General features: G+C 42.3%; 1 protein-coding gene across 56 annotated transcripts in view, besides 6 other annotated features; it reads left to right on the top strand.

Annotated features, from left to right (window-relative positions):
* Window positions 1-27,508, top strand: part of RALGPS1 (Ral GEF with PH domain and SH3 binding motif 1) — a 308,385-nt gene that overhangs the window by 67,116 nt on the left and 213,761 nt on the right. The window contains exon 5 of one of the 56 annotated variants that reach the window (NM_001366399.1): window positions 7,996-8,326. The exons of the other annotated variants lie outside the window; for them this stretch is intronic. Within the exon in view, the coding sequence (NP_001353328.1) occupies window positions 7,996-8,106 (111 nt within the window). The 3' untranslated portion in view covers window positions 8,107-8,326. Of the gene's footprint in view, window positions 1-7,995; window positions 8,327-27,508 lie in introns of those variants that run through there. 56 annotated transcript variants of the gene reach the window in all.
* Window positions 23,077-23,126: an enhancer, noted in NCBI's record as "active region_29026". NCBI's record gives its function as "activates an Ori minimal core promoter by ATAC-STARR-seq in GM12878 lymphoblastoid cells {active_cell/tissue: GM12878}" and the evidence as "EXISTENCE:reporter gene assay evidence [ECO:0000049][PMID:35858748]".
* Window positions 23,137-23,206: an enhancer, noted in NCBI's record as "active region_29027". NCBI's record gives its function as "activates an Ori minimal core promoter by ATAC-STARR-seq in GM12878 lymphoblastoid cells {active_cell/tissue: GM12878}" and the evidence as "EXISTENCE:reporter gene assay evidence [ECO:0000049][PMID:35858748]".
* Window positions 23,547-23,596: an enhancer, noted in NCBI's record as "active region_29028". NCBI's record gives its function as "activates an Ori minimal core promoter by ATAC-STARR-seq in GM12878 lymphoblastoid cells {active_cell/tissue: GM12878}" and the evidence as "EXISTENCE:reporter gene assay evidence [ECO:0000049][PMID:35858748]".
* Window positions 23,657-23,766: an enhancer, noted in NCBI's record as "active region_29029". NCBI's record gives its function as "activates an Ori minimal core promoter by ATAC-STARR-seq in GM12878 lymphoblastoid cells {active_cell/tissue: GM12878}" and the evidence as "EXISTENCE:reporter gene assay evidence [ECO:0000049][PMID:35858748]".
* Window positions 23,827-24,006: an enhancer, noted in NCBI's record as "active region_29030". NCBI's record gives its function as "activates an Ori minimal core promoter by ATAC-STARR-seq in GM12878 lymphoblastoid cells {active_cell/tissue: GM12878}" and the evidence as "EXISTENCE:reporter gene assay evidence [ECO:0000049][PMID:35858748]".
* Window positions 25,941-25,990: an enhancer, noted in NCBI's record as "active region_29031". NCBI's record gives its function as "activates an Ori minimal core promoter by ATAC-STARR-seq in GM12878 lymphoblastoid cells {active_cell/tissue: GM12878}" and the evidence as "EXISTENCE:reporter gene assay evidence [ECO:0000049][PMID:35858748]".

Here is a 27,508-nt window from a genome sequence, read left to right on the forward strand (position 1 = left end):
TGTAGTCAAGATGTTGGCTGGGACTGTAGTCATCTGAAGGCTTGAGTGGGGATGGAAAGTCTGCTTCCAAGGTGGCTCGTGCACAATGCCTGGCCGTTGGCAGGAATCCTCTGTTCCTTGCCATGTGGAACTGTTCAGAGCCACTGAGTGTCCTCATGGCATGGCAGTTGACTTCTCCTAGAATGAGTGACCCAAGAGAACAAGACAGAAGCCAGCAAGGACTTTTGTGACCTGGCTCAGAAGTCACATACTGTCATTTGCACAGTATCCTATTAGTATCACAGATCAGCCCTCTTCACCAAGGGGGGCACTATACAAGAGCTGGACACCAGCAAGTAGGAAGTGGGGGACCCCTTGGAGACTGCCTACCACAGGCCTCAGGTCAGAAGGTCAAATACAGTTAGTCTAACTCCAGAACTTTCACAGTTCTGCCTCTGCCAGTGCCCCAGCTATGTGACCTTGGGTAAGTCACGTCACCTCTCTAAGTTTTGGTTTCCTCATTCATAGAGTGGTGATAGGAAGAGTACCTCCGTCATAGGGTTTATTTGGAGAATGAAATGAGATAATGCATATAGAGTACTTAGCACAGAGGCTGGAACCTATTAAAACAACAACCACCATTTTTGAACGTGTAGTGCATACCAGGCATTGTGTTGAGCGGTTAAAGTCTTTATTCAGAGTTTGCTGCTATTATTACTATTGTTGTTGTTGTTGTGGCTGTGACTGTGGTTGTCACCCACCAGTTTCCCTTTATGTCAGTCTCTGGCTTGCTCTAGATACATGCCTTCCTGCCTCAGCCCCCTGCCCTGCTGTTCTCCTGTCTTCTTGCCTCTCAGTTCCCCTTCCTCTCCTTCTTATTCTTTTAAAATATTTCTTCTTCTTCTTCCTCTTCTTCTTCTTCTTCTTCCTTCTTTCTTCCTCCTTCTTCTTCCTCTTCTTCTTCCTTCTTTCTTCCTCCTCCTTCTTCTTCTTCTTCCTCTTCCCCTTCCCCTTCTTCTCTTCTTTTCTTCTTCTTCTTCTTCTTCTTCTTCTTTTTTTTTTTTTTTTTTTTTTTTTGAGGTGGAGTTTCGCTCTTGTTGCCCAGGCTGGAGTGCAGTGGCATGATCTCGGCTCACTGAAATCTCTGCCTCCCGGGTTCAAACAATTCTCCTGCCTCAGCCTCCCAAGTAGCTGGGATTACAGGCACCTGATACCACGACCGGCTAATTATCGTAATTTTAGTAGAGATGGGGTTTCACCACGTTGGCCAGGCTGGTCTCGAATTCCTGACCTCAGGTGATCTGCCCGCCTCGGCCTCCCAAAGTGCTGGGATTACAGATGTAAGCCACTGCGCCCAGCCCTATTCTTTTTAAACATTTCTTATTGTTAACAATTTTGAATAGATATGTGTATGCACATACTGGGTTTATATAGGAAGAGTGGTAAAATGAACCTTTGTATACCTGTTACCTAGATCCAACAATTGCCATCTTTGCTTCATTTACCTCTTTTTTTCTTTTTATTTATTCCTGGAAATTTTGAAAGCAAATGCCTAACATCCTATTATTTCCCTCCTTCAAACTTCAGATGTAGCTCTTTAAAAAGTTATTTTCTACCATAATCACAATAGCATTATCACACTTAACAAAATTAGCAATAATTCTTTAGGATCAAATTGGGGGAATTTCAAATTTCCCCAATTGTCTCAAAAACAAACAAAACCCACTAATAGCAGTGACAATTCCAGGGCCTGCACATTGCATTTGGTTGGTTGTTACGTTTCTCAAATTCCTTTTTATTCTAGTGTAGTCCATCCTCCCTCTCCTCCCTCATGCGCTTAACTTATTGAAAGGTTAGTCGCACTCTGTAATATTCTAAATTGTAAATATTCTGCTTCTTCTTGGTGGTTTAACTTGTTCACTTGTCGCCTATTTTGTTTCAACTAGAAGTTAACCCAAGAGGCTTGATTGGATTTTGGGTCAGTCTTTTTGGGAAGAGTGTGTCCTAGGTGGTGCTGGGTACTTTGTATCACATGTCACATTAGGAGACACCCAGTTGTTTTGCTCTGTGTCATGTGAAGATTCATTGATGGGTTCAGGTGGTGACTGTTTTATTCCTTCATTGTAAAGTTCCCCATCTACCTTTTACCTAATTATTTCATCTGTCAATGATCTTTGCCTGAATTGAGTATTTTATTGGTCCTAGCAAAATGGTGACTTTTCTCTCTTTCTTTTTTTCCTTTTTCAGAGACAGAGTCTTGCTCTGTCACCTAGGCTCTAATGCAGTGGTGTGGTCATAGCTCACTGCAGCCTCAAACTTGTGGGCTCAAGCCATCCTCTGCCTCAGCCTCCTGAGAATCTAGGACTACAGACATGTGCCACCATGCTTGGCTAATTTTTAAAAAATATTTGAAGAGACGTATCACTGTGTTGCCCAGGCTGGTCTTGGACTCCTGGCCTCAAGCAGTTATCCTGCCTCAGCCTCCCCAGTAGCTGAGATTACAGGCATGAGCTGCCACGCCTGACTCTTATAGCTGAAATTCTTAAGAAGAATTTTTCCTCATCAGCTAGGGCTACTTGTACATACTTAATTCTTTCCTTTTAATTATCAATTTTCAGAGTAAGCAGGTGGTGCCCCACTTACCTTTAATGGTGACTTGTGGGTGTGTAACTGCTTTGTTTTGTTTTTGGTGAGCAGTCTGTCTCCTCCATCATAATGAACTTGTGGATATTTATTATACGTCCTGTGTGTTTCAGTCAGTTATAGTCACCATTCTTTTTGATATACAAATTGTCCTGTCTTTGACCAGTTGGATCCCTTTTATGTTGGCTCCTGTATCCTTTTAATGTGATCCCACTCATTTTTGATCACTTCCCTGCTTTTTGGCCCAACAAGATCCCCAGGGTTATGTTGTATATTTTCTGCTGCAGACCTGGAATTAGGCATTCCTTCAGGGGGTTTCTTTTAGTGGGGAATAATATTTAGAAACCATAATCTGGGTGAAGACTGCTTAGTATTACTGGGTTGCCATTGCTTTTAGGCCTTTGCCATGGACAGAGCTAGTAAACAGTTATTTTTTAAAAGGAAAATGTCATGAGTTCATAGTTAGGGTAGATGATATTATTTCTCCATAATTCTTCCTTCTCAACTTACTCCTTGTCATACCTTCACTGTGGGTGGTGTATATCTCCCCACCCTATTGACTTTGGGCTTGGCCCTGTGACTTGGTTTTGCCCATGGAATGTGGGCAGCATGGCAGTGTGCAGATCTGAGCTGAGCTGCTGAGAGGCGTGGCAAGCTTTGGCCAGCTGTCTTGGAACTTTCCTTTTCCATGATGTATCGGTAACTGTTGCTTGTTTATCTTCAGTCCCCAAATGAGGACATTACAGTTGACCTGAACTGACCCGAAGTCTAGATTCCACACTGAGACAAGCCAAAGCCAACCTGGCAGAGCTGAGCTGAGCTGCATCATCTACAGACCTATGAGCATGAAATAAATGTTGCTGTTGTAAGCATCTGAGATTTGAGGATTGCTCGTTATACTACATTATCTTGTAAAAATTTGACTAATATAATACTGATCTTTCCAATTCAAATATAACATTATAGAGTTGTTACTTAATTCCCTTGATATTTATATATTTTATTTTACAGTGACAATTTTGGTTCCTAGCAACATTACTTACTTTATATTATCCCGTCATATATATGTAAAATAATTTAAAAATAATAATACGAATATTACTACTAAGCAGTAGACTGCTGGTCAAATTTTAACATTTTCTTGCAGTTAGTTCTTTTACTTCTTGTCTTCTCTCTTTCCTACTACTTACATACCCAAGTGGGCCTCTCCCCTGGACTTTTCCCTTAAAGGTCTTTGGAAGCACCAGGACAGAAAAGGAGGGTTATGCTAATTTGGTTCTAGAGGGTCTGCATACTGAGATACCCTGTTGTAATCCCAGTACCTGGAACACAGTACATAATAAATATTTGTTGAATGAGTGGAGTGTGAATGGATGCCTGAAAGGGGAAGCGCCATAGCAGAACATTATCTGGCTGTGTTTAGGCACACTGCCAAGCGAGGGCGTGTGCCAACCAAAGGAGCGATATTACCAGGGTGTCTTGTTTTGTGGTGTAACCACTTCCCGCAAAGCAAGGGTATTTCCTGGTGAGCTCAGCCTTTTGAAGATTCACATTTCCAAATGCAGTTGATAACTGAGGGTGGAGCTGTGGCTTTTCATGACTTCTGCTGGTTTCTGCAAGGGGGACCACAAAGAACATCATTTCAGGGCTTAGAGGAAGCCAGGCAGACGGTGAGTTAAGGATTGGCAGAGAGTAAGGAAAATGGAAGTTACAAATATGGAACCATAACTGCCCTGTCCCCTGGTGACTCTAACGAGTGACCAAGTTTATCAAAAATTGGTGTATTAATGCAGATATAGCTTTGTAGCATAATATCTCACAGCTGTGTTGAACTTACAAGTTGTGGCCTAGAACCCCATTGCCACTGTGGTGGATTGGGTTGCAGGGTAGATTCCTGGGTGGATTCCTGGCTGCCAGGGCTTGGGGCAAGGGCTGCATTGTAAAGGAGGTCTGTCTGAAGGTCCTGGTGGTAGCAGCCTTCTAAAAGGGTATGTTTTCAAGGTGGTGTTTTGTCTCTACCAGAGCTCCTTACCACATCTGTCTGTCAGTATGTCCAGTTCCCAGCCTATGGAGTTGAAGGCGCAGCAGTGTCTCAGAGGCTGGTCTAAATGTCAGAACTGTTTTTGTCATTAGTTTTAGCATGGAGCAGCATCAAGGGGAAACTGCTGTTCTTAGAATGTGCTGAAAATGGGCACAGCCTGTGCTTTATTCAGCCCAGGGTTCTGTCAGAGCTGAGCTGCTGGGTCTGTTAAAGCCACACAGCTTGAAGAGCATGAACTTTGATCTGATGAAGCTGAGGTTGAGTCACAGCCTCACCCCTCTAGCTTGGAGACTTAGGACAAGTCATGTATTTTCTTTATGCCTTGATTTTCTCATGTGTAAAGTTGGCGGGGGGTGGAAGTCATAGCTTTTACCTTACAGTGGGCATGTAAGAACTTAGCGCGGTGCCTGTACAAAGCAAGCTCCTAGTCATGCGTGGCTATCATTTCACCAATGTATAGTTTGAATAGGCACTGTGGGTTATAGATGGGAGGTTGTTGCTCAGAATATTCAGATGATGCCTGTGCCGGAGCCAGTGTCCCAGAGGAGGTGATACCTGTGTAGCAGAGTGTTTAAGAGCATGGTACCTGGGATCCTTCAGAGCTCGGTTCACATCCTGGTGCCCTGGATAGCTGGGAGGCTGAGGTCTGGACCAAGACATACACCATGGTGCCCTAGGAGCCCTGCAAACATCATATGGGGAACTCACTCAATCTTGGGGTTGTGACATTATCACTAGGCCTTGAAGGCTGAAAGAGATCATCTCTTATTGGTGATTTGGGGAGTTGGGGGGCAGTTGGAAAGGGAATTTCAGGCAGAATGAATAACCCTTTGGAAAGACAGGTGATGTGCTCAGCAAAATTTAATACTACTTTTGGTGCCTGGTGCTCTTGAGAGAAGAAAAGGAGAACCTGCTCTTCCCTCAGTTCTGTGCTCTGCCAGAGCATCATTGCCAGGGATACTGGTACATGCCAAAGGCTTACCAGAAGTCAGTGTTTCATTCCCTTGCCGACTGGCAGCTGGGGCATGGTGTACGGTGGGCCTCAGTGTGATAGAAACGAACTGCAGTGGGTACCAATTTCAGTGAGGTGGAAAGCTTTCCTAAGTGCTCGTGTTTTTTCCAGTCTTCTCACTGCCCCTGCCAACATTGTTCCATCCCCACTGTCAGATTTCCCAGTAGTCAGCTCTGCCTTCACTCATTTACTCATTCATCAGTCTACTGTGCTAAATGCTGGAGAAACGATGAAGGGGACCTCGGCACAATTCAACCTGAGTCAGGCAGACATGTAAATAAATAGTAAACAAGAAGTGTTCAGGGGTGGGGCGCTAGCGTATCAAGGAAAGAGTGAGGGTGAGGATGGGCAGAAGGCAAGGAGCATGTCCCACAGAAGGGATGTTTGAATAAGGAAGCCAGGAGAACGGGGTGGCCAAGAGCATCGCAAAAGCAGAAAGATTCAGTTGCATATGGGTGTTTGGAGAACAGTGAGGAGTCTGTCATGACGGGAGAAGTGTATCTAGGTCTCTCCTGCAAGACCAGGACCAAAATCCAGAGGATGAGTGGCCAGGAAATACAAGGACCAGTGGTGAGGTCAGCAGCAGAGGAGGTGGCAAGAAAGGAAGAGCCTCAAGCCTGGCGGGGGTGAGAGATTGAGAGGCCTTGCACTGAAACCTGGCCATACAAGGCCTGGCATCTTTGAGGAGCATGGACACGTGTCAAGAGAGCCAGGTTGGGCCAGGCAGTTTGAGCTGGGCAGGAGACGGCAGTGAGGCTTGGAAGGGAGGCTTAGATGTGCCTGACTAAGGAGTTTGAGCTTTATCTTGTTAGCCCTGAGCATTCACTGAGAGATTTAAAAAAACAAAAAATAGAGACAAAGTCCTGCTATGTTGCCCAGGCTAAAGTGCAATGGCATGATCATAGCTCACTGCAGCCTCAAACTCCTGGGCTGAAGCAATCCTCCCACCTTAGCCTCCCAAGTAGTTGGGACTGCAGGTGTATGCCACCATACCCAGCCCTCTGAAGGATTTTAAAAGGGGAGCACCGTGGACAGATTTGTATTTTAAGATGTTCATTTCAACTGAGACAGAACCACCTGTAGTCAGGGAGACTAGTTAGGAGGATTTTGCAGCAGTCTGCATGAGGCAAGGTGGTCACACTGGAGAGAAGGGCAGGGCCTGATGTTATACTGGTTGTGAGGCTGCTGCAAGGGCCAAGATGAGAGGAAGCAGGCTGTAGTTGTGTCTGGAGAAAAGTGGGCTGCCCACTTAGGGAGCAGCAGGAAGAACAAGGGGCAAGGAAGGATGCACAGAAAGTGGCCCTAGAGGTAGGAGGAGGCCTAGTTAAGTCAAGCAGGGTGATCAGCAATGTTGCCTTTAGGGAGGGAGGCCAGAAGGGCCAGAGACAGCCGATGGCCTGAAAAAAGGCTGAAGGACTCAGGAGGCCAAGGTGGGAGGACCACTTGAGCCTAGGAGTTTGAGGCCAGCCTGGGCAACATAGCAAGACCCCACCTTATCATCATCATCATCAGCATCATCATCATCATCATCATCATCGCTGAAGGACCAAAAGTCAAGAAGAGAGCAAAGCACAGATTTGGTTAGGGGAAGGGGAGGGAAGCCAGGAAATAATGGAGGGAGGAGGATTTCAGAGTTCAGGGTCTTTGAGGTGGGGTGGCTCTGGTGACTGTGCTTGAAGGTGTGATGGCAGTGCCTTTGTGAAGCACAGAAGAGGTTGAGGCATGGGGGCACCCAGAAGTGAGAAGTTTAGTGAAGTGTGTAGAGATGACAACAGGAGAATGGGAGGAGGGGAAGACTCAAGCCAGAGCTACAGGTAAGGGAGCATCATGGTGGGAGAGCATACAGCAGCGTGGAGGGGAAGTAGAGGTGTTAGGACCCGGCTTGGGCCTCCCTGAAGACAAGCTGTGGGCCTGGACTGTGGGCCTTGGAGGTGAGGAACCAGAACATCCCCAGTATCTATTCCTGGGTTTGAGGCACGGACCAGGTGCTCAGTGTTAGTGGAAGGCAGGCCAGGGGTGGTCTGGGTGGGCCTGCTGGTCCTCTCCCTCTAGTCCTCATTGTCTGTGGCCCTGGAGGGAACCTGCTAAGTTCCTCCTAAGTGTGTTTTAAGGAAAAGGCAGTTCTGGTTAGAATGAGGAGGTGGGAGCAGCATTAACAGAAATGTTTTGGGACAAAGGAGGCATTCTGCAGATAAAATACATATTCCTGTGGGACACTTACTCTAGAGGGATTCGATTTCACCCTTCCTGCATCAGGCTGGAGCTCGAGACCTTGAGCTTGACTTGACCAGCATCTGTTGGGTCCTTTTCTGGTTTGCAGAAAGGCTGGCCTGCCAGAATGGAAGACTCCCTGCAGAAGTCCACAGTTTCCTCCAGGCCACATGACACGTTGCAGTTCAGGAAAACACTGCCTGTGGGTCCAGGAACCTGACCCTCTGGCCTTTTGTCTGGATGCCGTTTGCCTGCTCTGAAGAAGCGGGCGTTCCAGAAAGCCGAGGTCAATGTTGGACGTCGGACAAACCCTGTGTGTCTTTGCTGCTCCTTGGAATCAGTGTTTGGCCCTCGGAGAGGGAAGAATGTGGCCAGCAGGCAGTCATTTGTAAAGTGGAGATTGGTTTCCCTGACATCATTAAAACCCCTCTCTCAGGTCACATGCTGGGCAGTTTTCTCAGACCATCTCTCTCTGCTACACCAACCTAGTCTAATCCACTGCCATCCCTCCCCTGAATGATGGCAGCAGCCTTTTCATGTCTCCTCACATTGAGTTCCATCCCCCAGCCTCCTCTTTGGAACCAGAGACATCTTTCTAAAGCCAAAGTCTGACCATGTCCCTGCCCTGCTTAGCGCCCTCTGTGGCTACCCACTGCTCCTAGGATGCAGATCCGCCTTCATGCAGCCTCCCAGGCTCTGTGAAATAGGCCAGCAGCAGACCTCCCGACTCTCTCCTGCTCCAGTTCACCACTTTGTGTGCACACCACAGCCTCCCTGGTGTTCACTCCTGTCTCAGCACCTCCGCACAGGTTGTGCCCTCTGCCGGGAATGCTCTGCTCTGCCTCCGGGAGATGATGAGCAGTCAGAGCTCCGAGGTAGTGCTCCTCCTTCTCATGCTCCCTCTCATAGCCGCCTCATACTTCTTACGTATGGCACTTTGCACCCTCGTACTGAAATATTACGACTTTTAAAAGTTTGAATTATGAGTTCAAAGTCTGTTTCCCTCCTGGTTTGTGAACTCCAGGAATGCAGAGATCATGCCACTACTCTTCATCCCTGACTCCTGTGATCTAATGCAGTGCCTGATGTTGTTTGTTTTTTGTCGAATACATTTAGGATGTAGCAGTAGTAATAATACTAAAATCCCTTGAATCCTTTCCACTTCTATGCTATCTGCCTCTCTTTGTTCAAAAAACTGGATTAGGTGGTAGGGGCAGTCTTGGTGTCCACAAGTTGGGGCCAAGGCATAGAAAGGAGGGCTCCCAGCATAAGACTCATTAGAGCTATCGTTACTTAGCACCCAAAGGCTAAACAGCTGTCTAATTTGTTACCGCTCTGAGTTCACATTTGTTATTTGCACATTTTCTAGAAATTGGTCTGTTTTAACAGTTTCTTGTCACAGTGGAAACAGAGTAGAAAAGGAATTCCCCAACTCCATTTATTTCATGGTGGAGATAAGAGTAGGGGCTGGAGTTCCTCTCTGAGCCGCAGGATAAGGCCTGCCTGAAGGGTGGGGAGAGGCTACTGGGGCAGGAGTCTGAACTGGCTGCACACACAGGCCAGCAGCACATTTGATCCAACACTTTGCAACTTCGAGACTCATTTTTTTTTTCCTTCTTGAGCATGGATATGACATTAGTGTTGGTTAGAAACCAAATTTCCTTTTAAGTGAATAAATAACACAAAACAGAGCCTTTGGTGAACAGCTGTTTTCATCCATAGGGACTTGGTGCCTGGTTGGGATTTTTGTCTGCAAGGAAAAGAGGGTTTGTTTGAACTCTTGTCATAGGAACAACTACATGATCCCAGGAAGTTTGGGGTAGTGAGAGGATCATAAGTTTTGGAGGCAGGAAGGTCTGCATTTGAAACTTGGCTCTGCTACTCTGTAGCTGTGTGATCATAGGCAAGTTCCCTCATCTTTCTGTGTCTCTGTTTTCTTCTCTGTAAAGTGGAAATGATACCCATCTCATAGTGTTATGATGGTTAAGAAGATTGTGGAAGAGGGGGCCTAGAATGGACCTCGCACATGGCAGAAACTCACAAATTGTTTCTTAATTTTTGAGAGAAGTCTGGGAAGTAATAAGGAGAAAAGCAATAGGCAGCGCTGATAAGTCAAGCTGAGAAGGGCTCTGGGCTCAGCAGTATGTAAAGCTTCCCAAGGGTAGGACCTCATCTGTCATTGCTATATCCCTCATGGCAAGCAGTGAGTAAGCAGTGTCTGGTACATGACAGGATCAATACTTGTCAATACTTGTTTGATGAATGACAGGTGTGTAGAAAAGCATTTCCACCTGTATGGCTTAAAGCTTAAGAGCTTGGGCTCTGGAGAGAGAAGGACCTGGATTTTTATCTCTGTGACCATGGTCAAGTCACTTAGCCTCTCTGAGTCTCAGTTTCTGTATCAGTAAAATGGAAATTATAATATGACTACCTCAAAAGAATTGGACATGAGGACAGCATGAGATTATTTTCAGCGTTATTGAGGTATAATTTACATATGTAAACTATGCATACTAAAGTCAACAATTTGATATGTATGTATCTGTAAAACCATCACCATCTCAATATAATGAACATACCCATCACCCCAAAAATTTTTTAATACCTCTTTGCAATCCTTTCCTCCTCTTCCACTCCTTCCACTGTTCTTGAAATTAGGTAGTGTACATCCTTAAAGTTTGTTATTCTGTTTCAAAATTGTTCTGACTATTCTAATCCTTGGCATTTCAATATGCATTTTAGGATCAACTTGTTAAGTTTTACCAAAGAAGTCTGCTGGGATTTTGACTGTGATTGTGTTGAATCTGTAGATCCATTTGGGGAGAATTGACATTTTAATGATATTGCATCACCTGAACTATGAAACACAATGTAACTCCATGTATTAAGGACTCATAACACAGTATATCACCTCATGTATGTAGGTCTTCTCTAATTTATTTTAGTAATGTTGTGTAGTTTGCATTGTATAGGCCTTATACATCTTTTGCCAAATATATGTAGGGTTTTCTACACAGATAATGATGCCTCTGTGAATAATGACAGTCTTGTTTCTTTCTGAACTGGATGCTATTGTTTCTTTTTCTTGCCTTGTTGCATGGGCTACAGCCTCTAGTACAATGTTGGGTAGAAGTGGTGAGTGCAGATATTCTTGGCGTGGTCCTGATCTTAGAAGAAAAGTGGCCTTTACTCATTAAGGATGATGTTTGCTGTTAGCAGTAGGTTTTTTCATAGAGGTCTTTTTATCAGGTTGAGGAAATTTCCTTGTATTCCTAATTTACTAAGAGTTTAATCTGGAATGGGTATTTGAGTTTTATCAAATGCTTTTCCTGCATCTATTGACATAATCATATGGTTTTTCTTTTTCAGTCTGTTACTTTAGAGAATTACATTGATCGATTTTTGACTATTAAACCAACCTTGTATTGCTGTGGTAAACCCCACTTAGTTATGATGAATTAATTATCTTTTTTGTATATTGTTGGATTTGATTTGTTAAAATTGTGTTTAGAATTTCTGCATCTGTGTTTGTAATGGGGAATATTGATCCATATTTTTCTTTTCCTGTAAAGTTTTTGTCTGGTTTTGGTATCAGCATAATGCTGCCCTCACAAAATGAGTTGAGAAGTATTCCTTCCTTTTCAATTTTCAAGAAGAGTTTGTATAGAATTAGTGTGAGTCTTTCTTAAATATTTGGTAGATATCACCAGTAGAGCCACCTAGGTCTGGAGTTTTCTCTGTGGAAAGTTTTTTTTTTTTTTCTTTTAAATAGAGTTTATTTTTAAGAACAGTTTTAGAGTAAAAAGCTTCCACTGTAGCTCTGGTCTACAGCTCTCAGCGTGAGTGATGCAGAAGATGGGTGATTTCTGCATTTCCAACTGAGCTTTGAAGAGAGTAGTGGTTCTCCCAGCACGCAGCTTGAGATCTGAGAACGGGCAGACTGGTTCCTCAAGTGGGTCCCTGACCCCAGAGTAGCCTAACTGGGAGGCACCCCCAGTAGGGGCGGACTGACACCTCACACGACCGGGCACTCCTCTGAGACAAAACTTCCAGAGGAACGATCAGGCAGCAGCATTTGCGGTTCACCAGTATCTGCTGTTCTGCAGCCACCGCTGCTGAAACCCAGGCAAACAGGGTCTGGAGTGGACCTCTAGCAAACTCCGACAGACCTGCAGCTGAGGGTCCTGTCTGTTAGAAGGAAAACTAACAAAACAGGAAGAACATCCACACCAAAAACCCATCTGTACGTCACCATCATCAAAGACCAAAGGTAGATAAAACCACAAAGATGGGAAAAAAAACAGAGCAGAAAAACTGGAAACTCTAAAAATCAGAGCACCTCTCCTTCTCCAAAGGAACACAGCTCCTCACCAGCAACAGAACAAAGCTGGATGGAGAATGACTTTGAGAGTTGAGAGAAGAAGGCTTCAGATGATCAAACTACCCCGAGCTACAGGAGGAAATTTGAACCAATGGCAAAGAAGTTAAAAGCTTTGAAAAAAAAATTAGTTGAATGGATAACTAGAATAACCAATGCAGAGAAGTCCTTAAAGGACCTGATGGAGCTGAAAACCAAGGCACGAGAGCTACGTGATGAATGCAGAAGCCTCAGTAGCCGATGCGATCAACTGGAAGAAAGGGTATCAGTGATGGAAGATGAAATGAATGAAATGAAGCAAGAAGAGAAGTTTAGAGAAAAAAGAGTAAAAAGAAATGAACAAAGCCTCCAAGAAATATGGGACTATGTGAAAAGACCAAATCTACGTCTGATTGGTGTACCTGAAAGTGACGGGGAGAATGGAACCAAGTTGGAAAACACTCTGCAGGATATTATCCAGGAGAACATCCCCAATCTAGCAAGACAGGCCAACATTCAAATTCAGGAAATACAGAGAATGCCACAAAGATACTCCTCGAGAAGAGCAACTCCAAGACACATAATTGTCAGATTCACCAAAGTTGAAATGAAGGAAAAAATGTTAAGGGCAGCCAGAGAGAAAGGTCGGGTTACCCACAAAGGGAAGCCCATCAGACTAACAGCTGATCTCTTGGCAGAAACTCTACAAGCCAGAAGAGAGTGGGGACCAATATTCAACATTCTTAAAGAAAAGAATTTTCAACCCAGAATTTCATATCCAGCCAAACTAAGCTTCATAAGTGAAGGAGAAATAAAACACTTTACAGACAAGCAAATACTGAGAGATTTTGTCACCACCAGGCCTGCCCTACAAGAGCTCCTGAAGGAAGCACTAAACATGGAAAGGAACAACAAGTACCACCCACTGCAAAAACATGCCAAATTGTAAAGACCATCAAGGCTAGGAAGAAACTGCATCAACTAATGAGCAAAATAACCAGCTAACATCATAATGACAGGATCAAATTCACACATAACAATATTAACTTTAAGTGTAAATGGGCTAAATGCTCCAATTAAAAGACACAGACTGGCAAATTGGATAAAGAGTCAAGACCCATCAGTGTGCTGTATTCAGGAAACCCATCTCATGTGCAGAGACACACATAGGCTCAAAATAAAGGGATAGAGGAAGATCTACCAAGCAAATGGAAAACAAAAAAAGGCAAGGGTTGCAATCCTAGTCTCTCATAAAACAGACTTTAAACCAACAAAGATCAAAAGAGACAAAGAAGGCCATTACATAATGGTAAAGGGATCAATTCAACAAGAAGAGCTAACTATCCTAAATATATATGCACCCAATACTGGAGCACCCAGATTCATAAAGCACGTCCTTAGTGACCTACAAAGAGACTTAGACTCCCACACAATAATAATGGGAGACTTTAACACCCCACTGTCAACATTAGACAGATCAACGAGACAGAAAGTTAACAAGGATACCCAGGAATTGAACTCAGCTCTGCACCAAGCAGACCTAATAGACATCTACAGAACTCTCCACCCCAAATCAACAGAATATACATTCTTTTCAGCACCACACCACACCTACTCCAAAACTGACCACATAGTTGGAAGTAAAGCACTCCTCAGCAAATGTAAAAGAACAGAAATTATAACAAACTGTCTCTCAGAACACAGTGCAATCAAACTAGAACTCAGGATTAAGAAACTCACTCAAAACCACTCAACTACATGGAAACTGAACAACCTGCTCCTGAATGACTATTGGGTAAATAATGAAATGAAGGCAGAAATAAAGATGTTCTTTGAAACCAACGAGAACAAAGACACAACATACCAGAATCTCTGAGACACATTCAAAGCAGTGTGTAGAGGGAAATTTATAGCACTGAATGGCCACAAGAGAAAGCAGGAAAGATCTAAAATTGACACCCTGACATCACAATTAAAAGAACTAGAAAAGCAAGAGCAAACACATTCAAAAGCTAGCAGAAGGCAAGAAATAACTAAAATCAGAGCAGAACTGAAGGAAATAGAGACACAAAAAACCCTTCAAAAAATTAATGAATCCAGGAGCTGGTTTTTTTGAAAAGATCAACAAAATTGATAGACTGCTAGCAAGACTAATAAAGAAGAAAAGAGAGAAGAATCAAATAGATGCAATAAAAAATGATAAAGGGATATCACCACTGATCCCACAGAAATACAAACTACCATCAGAGAATACTACAAACACCTCTACGCAAATAAACTAGAAAATCTAGAAGAAATGGATAAATTCCTTGACACATGCATCCTCCCAAGACTAAACCAGGAAGAAGTTGAATCTCTGAATAGACCAATAACAGGCTCTGAAATTGAGGCAATAATCAATAGCTTACCAACCAAAAAAAGTCCAGGACCAGATGGATTCACAGCCGAATTCTACCAGAGGTACAAAGAGGAGCTGATACCAATCCTTCTGAAACTATTCCAATCAATAGAAAAAGAGGGAATCCTCCCTAACTCATTTTATGAGGCCAGCATCATCCTGATACCAAAGCCGGGCAGAGACACAACCAAAAAAGAGAATTTTAGACCAATATCCTTGATGAACATTGATGCAAAAATCCTCAATAAAATACTGGCAAACCAAATCCAGCAGCACATCAAAAAGCTTATCCACCATGATCAAGTGGGCTTCATCCCTGGGATGCAAGGCTGGTTCAACATACACAAATCAATAAATGTAATCCAGCATATAAACAGAACCAAAGACAAAAACCACATGATTATCTCAATAGATGCAGAAAAGGCCTTTGACAAAATTCAACAACGCTTCATGCTAAAAACTCTCAATAAATTAGATATTGATGGGACGTATCTCAAAATAATAAGAGCTATCTATGACAACCCCACAGCCAATATCATACTGAATGGGCAAAAACTGGAAGCATTCCCTTTGAAAACGGGCACAAGACAGGGATGCCCTCTCTCACCACTCCTATTCAACATAGTGTTGGAAGTTCTAGCCAGGGCATTGAGGCAGGAGAAGGAAATAAAGGGTATTCAATTAGGAAAAGAGGAAGTCAGATTGTCCGTTTGCAGATGACATGATTGTATATCTAGAAAACCCCATCGTCTCAGCCCAAAATCTCCTCAAGCTGATAACTTCAGCAAAGTCTCAGGATTCAAAATCAATGTACAAAAATCACAAGCATTCTTACACACCAATAACAGAGAACCAAATCATGAGTGAACTCCCATTCACAATTGCTTCAAAGAGAATAAAATACCTAAGAATCCAACTTACAAGGGATGTGAAGGACCTCTTCAAGGAGAACTACAAACCACTGCTCAATGAAATAAAAGAGGATACAAACAAATGAAAGAACATTCCATGCTCATGGGTAGGAAGAATCAATATCGTGAAAATGACCATACTGCCCAAGGTGATTTATAGATTCAATGCCATCCCCATCAAGCTACCAATGACTTTCTTCACGGAATTGGAAAAAACTACTTAAAAGTTCATATGGAACCAAAAAAGAGCCCACATCGCCAAGTGAATCCTAAGCCAAAAGAACAAAGCTGGAGGCATCATGCTACCTGACTTCAAACTATACTACAAGGCTACAGTACCCAAAACAGCATGGTACTGGTACCAAAACAGAGATATGGACCAATGGAACAGAACAGAGCCCTCAGAAACAATGCTTCGTATCTACAACTATCTGATCTTTGACAAACCTGAGAAAAACAAGCAATGGGGAAAGGATTCCCTATTTAATAAATGGTGCTTGGAAAACTGGCTAGCCATATGTAGAAAGCTGAAACTGGATCCCTTCCTTACATGTTATACAAAAATTAATTCAAGATGGATTAAAGACTTAAATGTTAGACCTAAAACCATAAAAACCCTAGAAGAAAACCTAGGCAATACCATTCAGGACATAGGCATGGGCAAGGACTTCATATCTAAAACACCAAAAGCAATGGCAACAAAAGCCAGAATTGACAAATGGGATCTAATTAAACTAAAGAGCTTCTGCACAGCAAAAGAAACTACCATCAGAGTGAACAGGCAACCTACAGAATGGGAGAAAACTTTTGCAACCTACTCATCTGACAAAGGGCTAATACCTAGAATCTACAATGGACTCAAATTTACAAGAAAAAAACAAACAACCCCATCAAAAAGTGGGCAAAGGATATGAACAGACACTTCTCAAAAGAAGACATTTATGCAGCCAAAAAACACATGAAAAAATGCTCATTATCACTGGCCATCAGAGCAATGCAAATCAAAACCACAATGAGATACCATCCCACACCAGTTAGAATGGCAATCATTAAAAAGTCAGGAAACAACAGGTGCTGGAGAGGATGTGGAGAAATAGGAACACTTTGACACTGTTGGTGGGACTGTAAAACCAGTTCAACCATTGTGGAAGTCAGTGTGGCAATTCCTCAGGGATCTGGAACTAGAAATACCATTTGACCCAGCCATCCCATTACTGGGTATATACCCAAAGGACTATAAATCATGCTGCTATAAAGACACATGCACACGTATGTTTATAGCGGCACTATTCACAATAGCGAAGACTTGGAACCAACCTAAATGTCCAACAACGATAGACTGGATTAAGAAAATGTGGCACATATACACCATGGAATACTATGCAGCCATAAAAAATGATGAGTTCATGTCCTTTGTAGGGACATGGATGAAGCTGGAAACCATCATTCTCAGCAAACTATCGCAAGGACAAAAAACCAAACACCGCATGTTCTCACTTACAGGTGGGAACTGAACAATGAGAACATGTGGACACAGGAAGGGGAACATCACACACTGGGGACTGTTGTTGGGTGGGGGAGGGGGGAGGGATAGCATTAGGAGATATACCTAATGCTAAATGACGAGTTAATGGGTGCAGCACACCAACATGGCACATGTATACATATGTAACAAACCTGCACGTTGTGCACATGTACCCTAAAACTTAAAGTATAATAATAATAATAATAATAAGTTTCAGATTTCTAGCAAAATTGAACAGAAAGTATAGAGTGTACATTCTGTATCTCCTGACCCCGTACATGCACAGCCTCCCCCACTATCAGCGTCCTCCCCCAGAGTGGATTTGTTAAAATTGAAGACCCTACACTGATACAGCATCATCACCCAAAGTCCATAGTTTTCATTAGAGTTAATTCGTGGTGTTGTGCATTCTATCAGTTTGACAAATATGTAATCACATGCATCTGCCATTATAGTGTCATACAGAATAGTTTTACTATTCTAAAATCCTCTGTGCCCCACCTATTCATCTCTTCTTCTCTCTTAACCCCTGGCACCACTGGTCTTTTCACTATCTTCATAGTTTTACCTTTTCCAGAATGTCTTATAGTTAGAATCATATAGTATGTAGCCTTTTCAGATTGGCTTCTTTGATTTAGTAATAAGCATTTATGTTTTCTTCATGTCTTTTCATGGCTTGATAGCTCATTTCTTTTTAGTGCTGAATAATAATTTATTGTTTGCATATACCAAAGTTTATCCATTCACCTACTGAGGGATATCTTGATTGCTTCAAAGTTTCGGCAATTATGAATAAAGCTTCTGTAAAGATTCATATGCAGATTTCTGTGTGAACACAAGTTTTCAACCCATTTGGGTAAATACCAATGAGAGTGATAGCTAGATCATTGTGGAAAGCTTTTAAACCACAAATTTAGTTTCTCTAACTATTCAGTTTATCTGTTTCTTTTTTAGTGAGTTTTGGTTGTGTTTTTCATTGAGCCTGTGCATTTTATCTGAGTTGTTAAATTTATTCCCATGAAGTTGTTCATAATATTCCCTTTTTATTCTTTTAATATCTATAGGATCTGTCATGATGTCCCCTGCTCTCATTCCTCATATTGGTAATTTGTATCTCTTTGCTTTTTTTCCCCTGGTCAGTCCAGCTAAAATTTACTAATTTTATTGATCTCAAGGAGAGCTTTTGGTTTCATTATTTTTTCTATGGCTTTTCTGTTTTCTGATCCATTGATTTCAGTTCATATTCTTTCTTCTGCTTACTTTGGGTTTAATTTGCTCTTCTTTTATAGTTTCTTAAGTAGAAGCTGAAGTCAATGATTTGAGCGCTTTCTTCATTGCTAATGTAGGCATCTAATGCTATAAATTTTCTTCTAAGTGCTGCTCTAGCTTTGCTCCCACGCGTTTTGATATTTTGGGCCTTCATTTCCATTAAATTCAAATGCTTTCTAATTTTCCTTTTGATTTCTTTTTGACCCATGAACTATTAAAGATGTGTTATTCAGTTTCCAAATATTTGAGGAATGGCTAGGTATATTCCTGCTATTGATTTCTTGTCTTGTCTTTTTTTTTTTTTTTTTTTTTTTTTTTTTTTGAGATGGAGTTTCACTCTTGTTGCCGAGGCTGGAGTGCAAAGGTACTATCTCGGCTCACTGCAACCTTTGCTTCCCAGGTTCAAGCGATTCTCCTGCCTCAGCCTCCAGAGTAGCTGGGATTACAGTCATGCACCACCACCTCTGGCTAATTTTTTTTTTGTATTTTTAGTAGAGACGGGGCTTCGCCGTGTTGGTCAGGCTGGTCTCAAACTCCTGACCTCAGGTGATCCACCTGCCTCAGCCTCCCAAAGCGCTGGGATTATAGGTGTGAGCCACCGCGCCCGGCCTCTGCTATTGATTTCTAATTCCATTGTAGTTAGAGAACATACTTTGTATGACTTAATTTAAATTTATTGAGACTAGTGGCTAAGAATATGGTCAATCTTGATAAATGTTTGGTATGAACTTGAGAAAAAAGTAAGTTCAGGCCAGGCGTGGTGGCTCACACCTATAATCCCAACACTTTGGGAGGCTGAGGTGGGTGGGTTGCTTGAGCCTAACATAGTGAGACTCTGTCTCTACAAAACAAAACAAAACAAAACAAAACAAAACAAAACAAAACAAAACAAAACTTAACTGGGCATGGTGGTGCATGCCTGTCGTCCCAGCTATTAGGAGGCTGAGGTGGGGGGATCACTTGAACCCAGGAGGTTGAGGCTGTAGTGAGCCATGATTGTGCCACTGCACTCAAGCCTGGGTGACAGAGCAAGACTCTGTCTCAAAAAAAAAAAAAAAAGTAAGTTCACACTATTTTTTGTTCTCTTTTCCTTCTTTTTCTGACTTCTTTTTAATTAATTGAGCACACTTCATGATTCCACCTTAACTTCTTTATTGGCTTATGAGGTATAATTTCTTTAATTTCAGTGGTTGGTTTAGGGTTTTTAGTATATATTTTAAACTTATAGTCTACTTTCAAGTGATAATATACCATTTTATGTATAGTGTAAGACATTTACAACAGTGTATGTCTATTTACCTCCGTCCTATTCTTTGCAGTATTGTTGTCATACATTTTTCTTCTAAATATGCAATAATCGGGCTGGGCGCGGTGGCTCACACCTGTAATCCCAGCACTTTGGGAGGCTGAGTTGGGTGGATTACTAGGTCAGGAGTTCGAGACCAGCCTGGCCAACATGGTGAAACCCCGTCTCTACTAAAAATATAAAAATTAGCTGGGCGTGGAGGCGTGTGCCTGTAATCCCAGCTACTTGGGAGGTTGAGGCAGGAGAATTGCTTGAACCTGGGAGGCGGAGGTTGCAGTGAGCCGAGATCGTGCCATTGCGCTCCAGCCTTGGCAACAAGAGTGAGACTCCATCTCAAAAATAAAAAATAAAAATAAAATATATATGCAGTAGTCTCTATATTAATACATTTGCATTAAATGATAATCTGTTAAAGTCTATTATCTTTTAAAGAAATTTTTTAAAATGCATATAATCAGGTACACAAATCTTAAGGCTATAACTCAATGCATTTTTACAAAGCAAACAAACAATGTAGCCACCATCTGGATCAAGATGTAAAACATACCAGCACCCCAGAAGGCTACCTCATGCCCCCTCCAAGTCATCAACTATGTACAAATGTAACCATGATTCTATCACCATAGGTAGTTTTGTCTGTTTTTGAACTTTATATAAATAGAATCATAAAATACGTACATTTTGTCTGGCTTCTTTCACTTAACATTATATATGTGAGATTTATCCTGTTTTTGTGTGTAGCAGGAGTTTTTTTCTTTCTCATTTTTGTATAGTATTCCATTCATTGTATGAGTAGATCATATTTTATTTATATTTTTCAATGGTGATGGATATTTTGGGTTTCTGGTTTGGAGCTATTATGAGTAGTGATACCACAAACATTCTTTTTTTTTTTTTTCTTTTTTTTTTATTATACTTTAAGTTTTAGGGTACATGTGCACATTGTGCAGGTTAGTTACATATGTATACATGTGCCATGCTGGTGCACTGCACCCACTAGCTCGTCATCTAGCATTAGGTATATCTCCCAATGCTATCCCTCCCCCCTCCCCCCACCCCACCACAGTCCCTAGAGTGTGATATTCCCCTTCCTGTGTCCATGTGATCTCATTGTTCAGTTCCCACCTATGAGCGAGAATATGTGGTGTTTGGTTTTTTGTTCTTGCGATAGTTTACTGAGAATGATGATTTCCAATTTCATCCATGTCCTTACAAAGGACATGAACTCATCATTTTTTATGACTGCATAGTATTCCATGGTGTATATGTGCCACATTTTCTTAATCCAGTCTATCATTGTTGGGCATTTGGGTTGGTTCCAAGTCTTTGCTATTGTGAATAATGCTGCAATAAACATACGTGTGCATGTGTCTTTATAGCAGCATGATTTATAGTCATTTGGGTATATACCCAGTAATGGGATGGCTGGATCAAATGGTATTTCTAGTTCTAGATCCCTGAGGAATCGCCACACTGACTTCCACAATGGTTGAACTAGTTTACAGTCCCACCAACAGTGTAAAAGTGTTCCTATTTCTCCACATCCTCTCCAGCACGAAAACCTAGGCATTACCATTCAGGACATAGGCATGGGCAAGGACTTCACGTCCAAAACACCAAAAGCAATGGCAACAAAAGCCAAAATTGACAAATGGGATCTAATTAAACTAAAGAGCTTCTGCACAGCAAAAGAAACTACCATCAGAGTGAACAGGCAGCCTACAAAATGGGAGAAAATTTTCGCAACCTACTCATCTGACAAAGGGCTAATATCCAGAATCTACAATGAACTCAAACAAATTTACAAGAAAAAAACAAACAACCCCATCAAAAAGTGGGCAAAGGACATGAACAGACACTTCTCAAAAGAAGACATTTATGTAGCCAAAAAACACATGAAAAAATGTTCATCATCACTGGCCATCAGAGAAATGCAAATCAAAACCACAATGAGATACCATCTCACACCAGTTAGAATGGCAATCGTTAAAAAGTCACAAACGTTCTTGAACATGCCTTTTGTTAGACATAAACTCCCATTTTCCTTGGATGCAATGTGTGGGAGTGAAATTGCTGGCTCGTAAGGTGTGTGTATATTTAGCTTAATAGATACTGCCAAACTGTTTTCTTTCTTTCTTTCTTTTCTTTTTTTTTAAAATTATTTTTTAAAATTTTATTTTAAGTTGTGGGATACATGTGCAGGATGTGCAGGTTTGTTACATAGGTAATGTGTGCCATGGTGGTTTGCTGCACCTATCAGCCCATCACCTAGGTAAAAAGTGACTGTATCATTTCACATTCCTGTTGGCACTCTGTGAGAGTTTCAGTTGTCCAGCATCTCTGTCAGCACTTTATGTTGTCAGAAGACGAAACAGTACCAAATGCAGAGTTCACCTCAGCACATTTATCCTCTTTCTGGCATCTTGGGCCTCAAATCCTGGCTTCTTTGGTTGCTCTGTCTCTTTAAATTGCTATGCTTTTGATATTATAGTTACTTTATCCAATTTTTATGGTTAGTATCAGTTACTTTGCCGTAGACAGAGTCAAAGTCTCTTTTCTTTCTCTTCTTTCTTCTTTTCCTTTCCTTCCCTTTCCCTTTTCCTTTCCTTTTTTGAGATGGAGTTTTACTCTTGTTGCCCAGGCTAAAGCGCAATGGCGTGATCTCAGCTCACTGCAGCCTTTGCCTCTCAGATTCAAGTGATTCTCCTGCCTCAGCCTCCCAAGCAGCTGGGATTACAGGCACCCGCCACCACACCCGGCCAATTTTTGTATTTTTAGTAGAGACAGTGTTTCGCAATGTTGGCCAGGCTGGTCTCAAACTCCTGACCTCAGGTGATCCACCTGCCTTGGCTTCCCAAAGTGTTGGGATTATAGGCATGAGCCTGTAATTGTTTTGAAAACAATCTTCTGTGGAAACATTATTTTTCTTAAATTATATTAAGGCATTGTTCTACTCTAAAGGGTTGGGATGGCATGAAGTGCTACTACTTATGTCTGGGTAATTGCAGTTTTCACATCACTATGTTATGTCTACTGTTATGGTGTCTGGAATATGTTCCATTTGAAAGGAATTTATGAAACTGTAACTTACCTTTATGATTATACACATCTTTTTGTGTTTATTTGATCTTAGCTTAAGTTGGAAAATGTCAATGAAAAAATATATTGTGAAGCTTACATAATCTTTAGTGTTACTTTCATAAGCAGACATTTAGCCTGCAATGATAGGCTTCTTGTCAGTGGTTGCACGACATCTGCAAAGGAGAAGGAGCATCCACCTCCAGAAGATACGTAAGGGAGAGGGGACCTTATTTATGAGAAGAAGGCTTGAGTTAAAAAGTCTGGAAATTTTTGAAAACTCAGATTTACCCTAATACAGCAGCCTTGTTTTGGAAGACCCTTCAAAATTGTTTATTGCATTGCCAAGCAAAAGAAGTCACTCTGGTAGGAGAGAACTTGGTGATGCTGCTTAACTTAGACATGACTGAGCTGAGTTGTGGCCCGGAGCAGAGGAAGGAGATTAAGCAGTTCCTGTGTCAAGTGATGTGATTTCTAGAGTAGCTCACCTGTCTTCTGGTGTTTTGAAGCAGGTCATGGAAATAATTGGCAGCAGTGCCATTTCTCTTAAAACTCATTGCATGAACTGCTAGTGATAGTTTTAGTGCAACCCAGCTCCTATTGACATCTGTACCTGCATGTTGTCAGCATCCAAGAAGAATTGTTATACTGCAAACCCTCTGAGAAATTTCAGTCTTCAGAATGGCAAACAGTTCCTTTGCCAAGCTAAATTTTGACTGAAAGGAATGTCAAGGCTGTCTGTGCACAGATGAAGCATCTGCTTTCTCTGGCAATACTTCTGGTTTTGTAGCTTTCATGAAACAAGAAGGCCCACCTGTCACTGTGGCTGGGACTTTCTGTGTCAGCGTGCATTGATGTCAAAGATTACAATGGTCTTGAAAGCCTGCTTTGACAGCCTGTGGTTTCATCAGAGCCAGGCCTTGAGTCACTGCCTTCTCAGGAGGTTTTTTTTTATGAAATGGAGCAGAACAGAAAGCTGCTTCGACTACACAGGAGTTCACTGGCTCTCCAAAGGATAAGCCTTGAAGTACTTGACTGAACTTCAGACTGAAGTTCTACTTTTTTTTCTTTGAAAGGAAAGGAAAACTCACAAAACAGAGAAAGAGGAATTCATTCATGACTTGGCTTACTTAACCAGATATTTTTGGCCATGTGAGTGAGGTAAACCTTTCAATTCACCATTATAGATGTTGCTGAAAAGTGGGCATTTTTAGCCACTCTGCCTTCTACAAGAGGAGACGTGGGTGGACAAGTCTGCAAACCTTCTCCTGCTGGAAGAAATGTTTGTGCAGCTTGGGAGTGGCAGAGTCATGCTTAGTCTTCAGCAGCAGAAATCTGCAGAGACCAATAGATGTGAATACAGCTTTCGATAAAATCCAACATCTCTTCATGCTAAAAACACTCAACAAACTGGGCATCAAAGGAACATACCTCAAAGTAATAATAGCCATCTATGACACATCCACAGTCAGCATCATACTGAATGGGCAAGAGCTAGAAGCATTACCCTGAAGAACAGGAACAAGACTAGGATGCCCACTGTCACCACTCCTACTGTCTGCTTTTGCAGGTAACTTCTGCTCAGCAAAACATGAAAACAGAGTATGGATTCACGGTCCTTCTTTGGGGACAAGCCATTCGTGAAGGAAACCTTGACGTTGTTTTTCTCAGGGACTTAAGAAAAAAGAAGCGAATGCAGTGTTGATCCACCTGGAAAACCCTTGGAGAATGGTGGCGTTCTTTGACATCTGACATTCACTGACTCTTGTCAATAGGCTTTGGGAGTGGTGATTTAGTATACCACTGCCTTCCTTTGGGAGTCTGGGTTTTCAAGCATTTGTTGATATCTAAATTTAGAAAAGGCAGGTTGACCAAATGTCAAGGAGTGTTTCACAATTCCACTGTTACATTCAATAATGATAATCATTATAACTTTGTTTATTGAATGCTCGTTATGTGACAGGCATTATTCTAATAACTTTCCATGAATTAACCCATTGAATATTTCCAACACTAATATAAGGAAGGCAGTTTTATTATCTTCATTTTCAGATGAAGAGACTGAGGCCCAGAGAGGTTAATAAAACTGCCCAAGGTAATAGGGCTGCTCAGTGGTGGAGTTAGATATAAACCTAGGTGGTCTGGCTCTAGGGTCCACATGTCCACACCCCTGGTAACTGCTTCTGTTGTGCCAGGGTACAGCATACTTTGTGTTATAGTTTTCATTTTAATCTTATTGGCACAATTTGGATTTCTTTTGATTCTTTTTAGGGTGTCGGTATTAACTTTTGTGCATGAAAGGGAGAGAGGGAGAGAGGAGAGAGAGAAAGAGAGGAGGGGAGGGAAAATAATCTCTGAAAAGATTTTTAAAATTTAACTCTAAGATAAATTGTGTACAACATTTCTCATGCCTTTGTTATTTACATTTTACTGGGGAGGGAGCTCGTAACTGTTATTAGGGATACCAGAGGCTTCTGAGACCCAGGAGCAGGGACCACATCTGTGTGTCTTTGTCTCCCATATGCTTAGCATAGTTCTGGGTACATAGTATTTGTTTTGTAATTTTTCATTGAGTATAAAGTTGCTGTACTTAAAGAGTTAAAGCTCTATTTTCTGGAAAACTTACTTTTTCCAAACACTTTGCTTCCAGCTAGTTGATACAGGATAACACTCATTTGGTCAACAATTAGTTATTCAATGCCTTCTATGACTGGGTGCTTCCTTAGGCACCAGACACACATAGATGCACATATTAGATTGTCAGGTCCCATTCCTGCACATTGCTTGTAGCCTATGGAAGGAAGACATGACTTGAGAAGCAATTTAATAAAGAATGGTAGGGGCTGTCGGGGGAATTACACGTGCCGTAGAAGTACATAGAAGGAGCATCCAGCTTTGTCTGGTGTATGGTGGGGGGCTCAGGAAAGCTTGTCTGAATAATAGTATATAAGCCAAGACTTGAGGAATGAACTGGTAAAGGGGAGAAGGAGTTTTTCAGGCAGAGGGAGCAGCATGTACCAAGGCCTGAGGCAAGAGAAAGCAAGACAGGGAGGGCAGAGAACTGAAAGAACACATTTCAGCATGGCTGGGTCACGCCACAATGAGGCCAGTCACAGATGAGCTAGAGAGCCAGCCAGGGGTCAGGGCCGAAGACCCTTGTCTGACAGGTCAGGCAGTGTGGATCGTCCGCTGATAGCAGTAAGACATTGGAGGGTTTCCTGCAGGGGAGAGCTTTGATTAGATTTGCATGGCTTACAAGGATTGCTCTGGCTGCTCTGTGGAGAAGAGACCTGCGAGGGAGAGCCATTCAGAGACTTTCCTGTGGTCTAGGTGAAAGACGATGTGGTCTGTGTGAGGATAATGCAGTGGACAAGGGTGACCCACATAGATGCAGGAATGTCTAGGTGCTGTTCTCTGCAGGCCTTGGTGCTAAGGTGGATGTGGATGTTGTGAGAGAGGGAGGAGTCAAGGATATCTCCCAAGTTTCTGGTCTGGTCAATTGGGAGACTGGTCAAAAAAAAAAAAAAATGATGTGGGGGTGGGGCGGGTATGTGCAGAATTTGGTTTTGCACATGTTGAGTTGGAAGTGCCTGTGTGATACCTGCATGAGGTATCCTGTACCAGCAGCATGACTGTGTGGCTAGTACACTTCTTACTCAAATAGCTGGGCTATTCCATGGACCTAATCTTCATGCCTTCTGGCAGAACTCTAGGTTCTTAGAAGCAGCTGCCCCTGGCCCTGTCTGTGGGAGGACCTCTAGGCTTGTGAAGGGATCTGGTTGGGACTGGCTTGCCACCAGAACCTCATTACTGGCTGAAGTGTCTTTGGGGATTGGGACCTCAGCAGGACCAGGGAAACAAAACCGTCAGTAGAGGCAGCTGTGGGAAAAGTGGGATGGGGTGAAGCTGAACATCTTAGATTAGATCCCTAGTTGCCTAGAATCCTCCAGAAAGGAAGGGAGGAGTCAGAAAGGAAGCTCAAGCACCTTGTCTTTGGGGAGACTGGTGATATCCTGGTTAGTAGCCTGAATTATGGTACAGACGGAGCTGGGTTTGAGATCCTGCTCTACCACAACCAGATATGTAAATCTGGGCTTAACATCTCAAAATCTTAATTATCTCATCTGTAAAATGGTGAAAATAATTGTACCCACTTCATAGGATTATTGGGAGAGTTCATGTATAATGAATTTAGATCCTGGCTAGAACATAATCAATGCTCAGGAAATGGCTGCTGCTGCTATTTCTTCTCTTCCTCTTTTCCTTCGGCCTTCATTTGCTGTTATAATCATCACTCAGATGTCTCTCTGAGAAGTATGTTCTTGAATCTTGAATCCCAATTCTATGGCTTTAGAAAGGCTTTAGGAAGGCTTTTTGCTTTCAAAATCCACGCAAGATCCTAGAGGCTTATTTTTGTCACATATACCATTTTTCACTGCACCACAGTGATGTGGAGATACTTTTGCAAGTTCTTCTCAAAGAATCTGTCTTATAGAACATTAGGGAGCCACATAGACTTCATTGAAAGGAAAATTTGGGAGCTGCACTATCAGCTTTAATAGGCACTATAGGCATCCCTGTTTCTAACATACCCATTGGATGCCTCATCATTGTGGGCCCTTTAGCTCATCCCAGCCTCTTCCAGCTTTCCCCTGAACGACTCTTTGTTCCCCCCTCATCCTTTATCATGGATTGTCCCTGGGATCATCCATCTCCCTTTACTGTACAGAGCAGTTCAGATTTCTCAACACCTGTGGCCCAACACACATCCTCCAATC

Source organism: Homo sapiens, chromosome 9 (assembly GCF_000001405.40).
Source record: "Homo sapiens chromosome 9, GRCh38.p14 Primary Assembly".
NCBI lineage: Eukaryota > Metazoa > Chordata > Mammalia > Primates > Hominidae > Homo > Homo sapiens.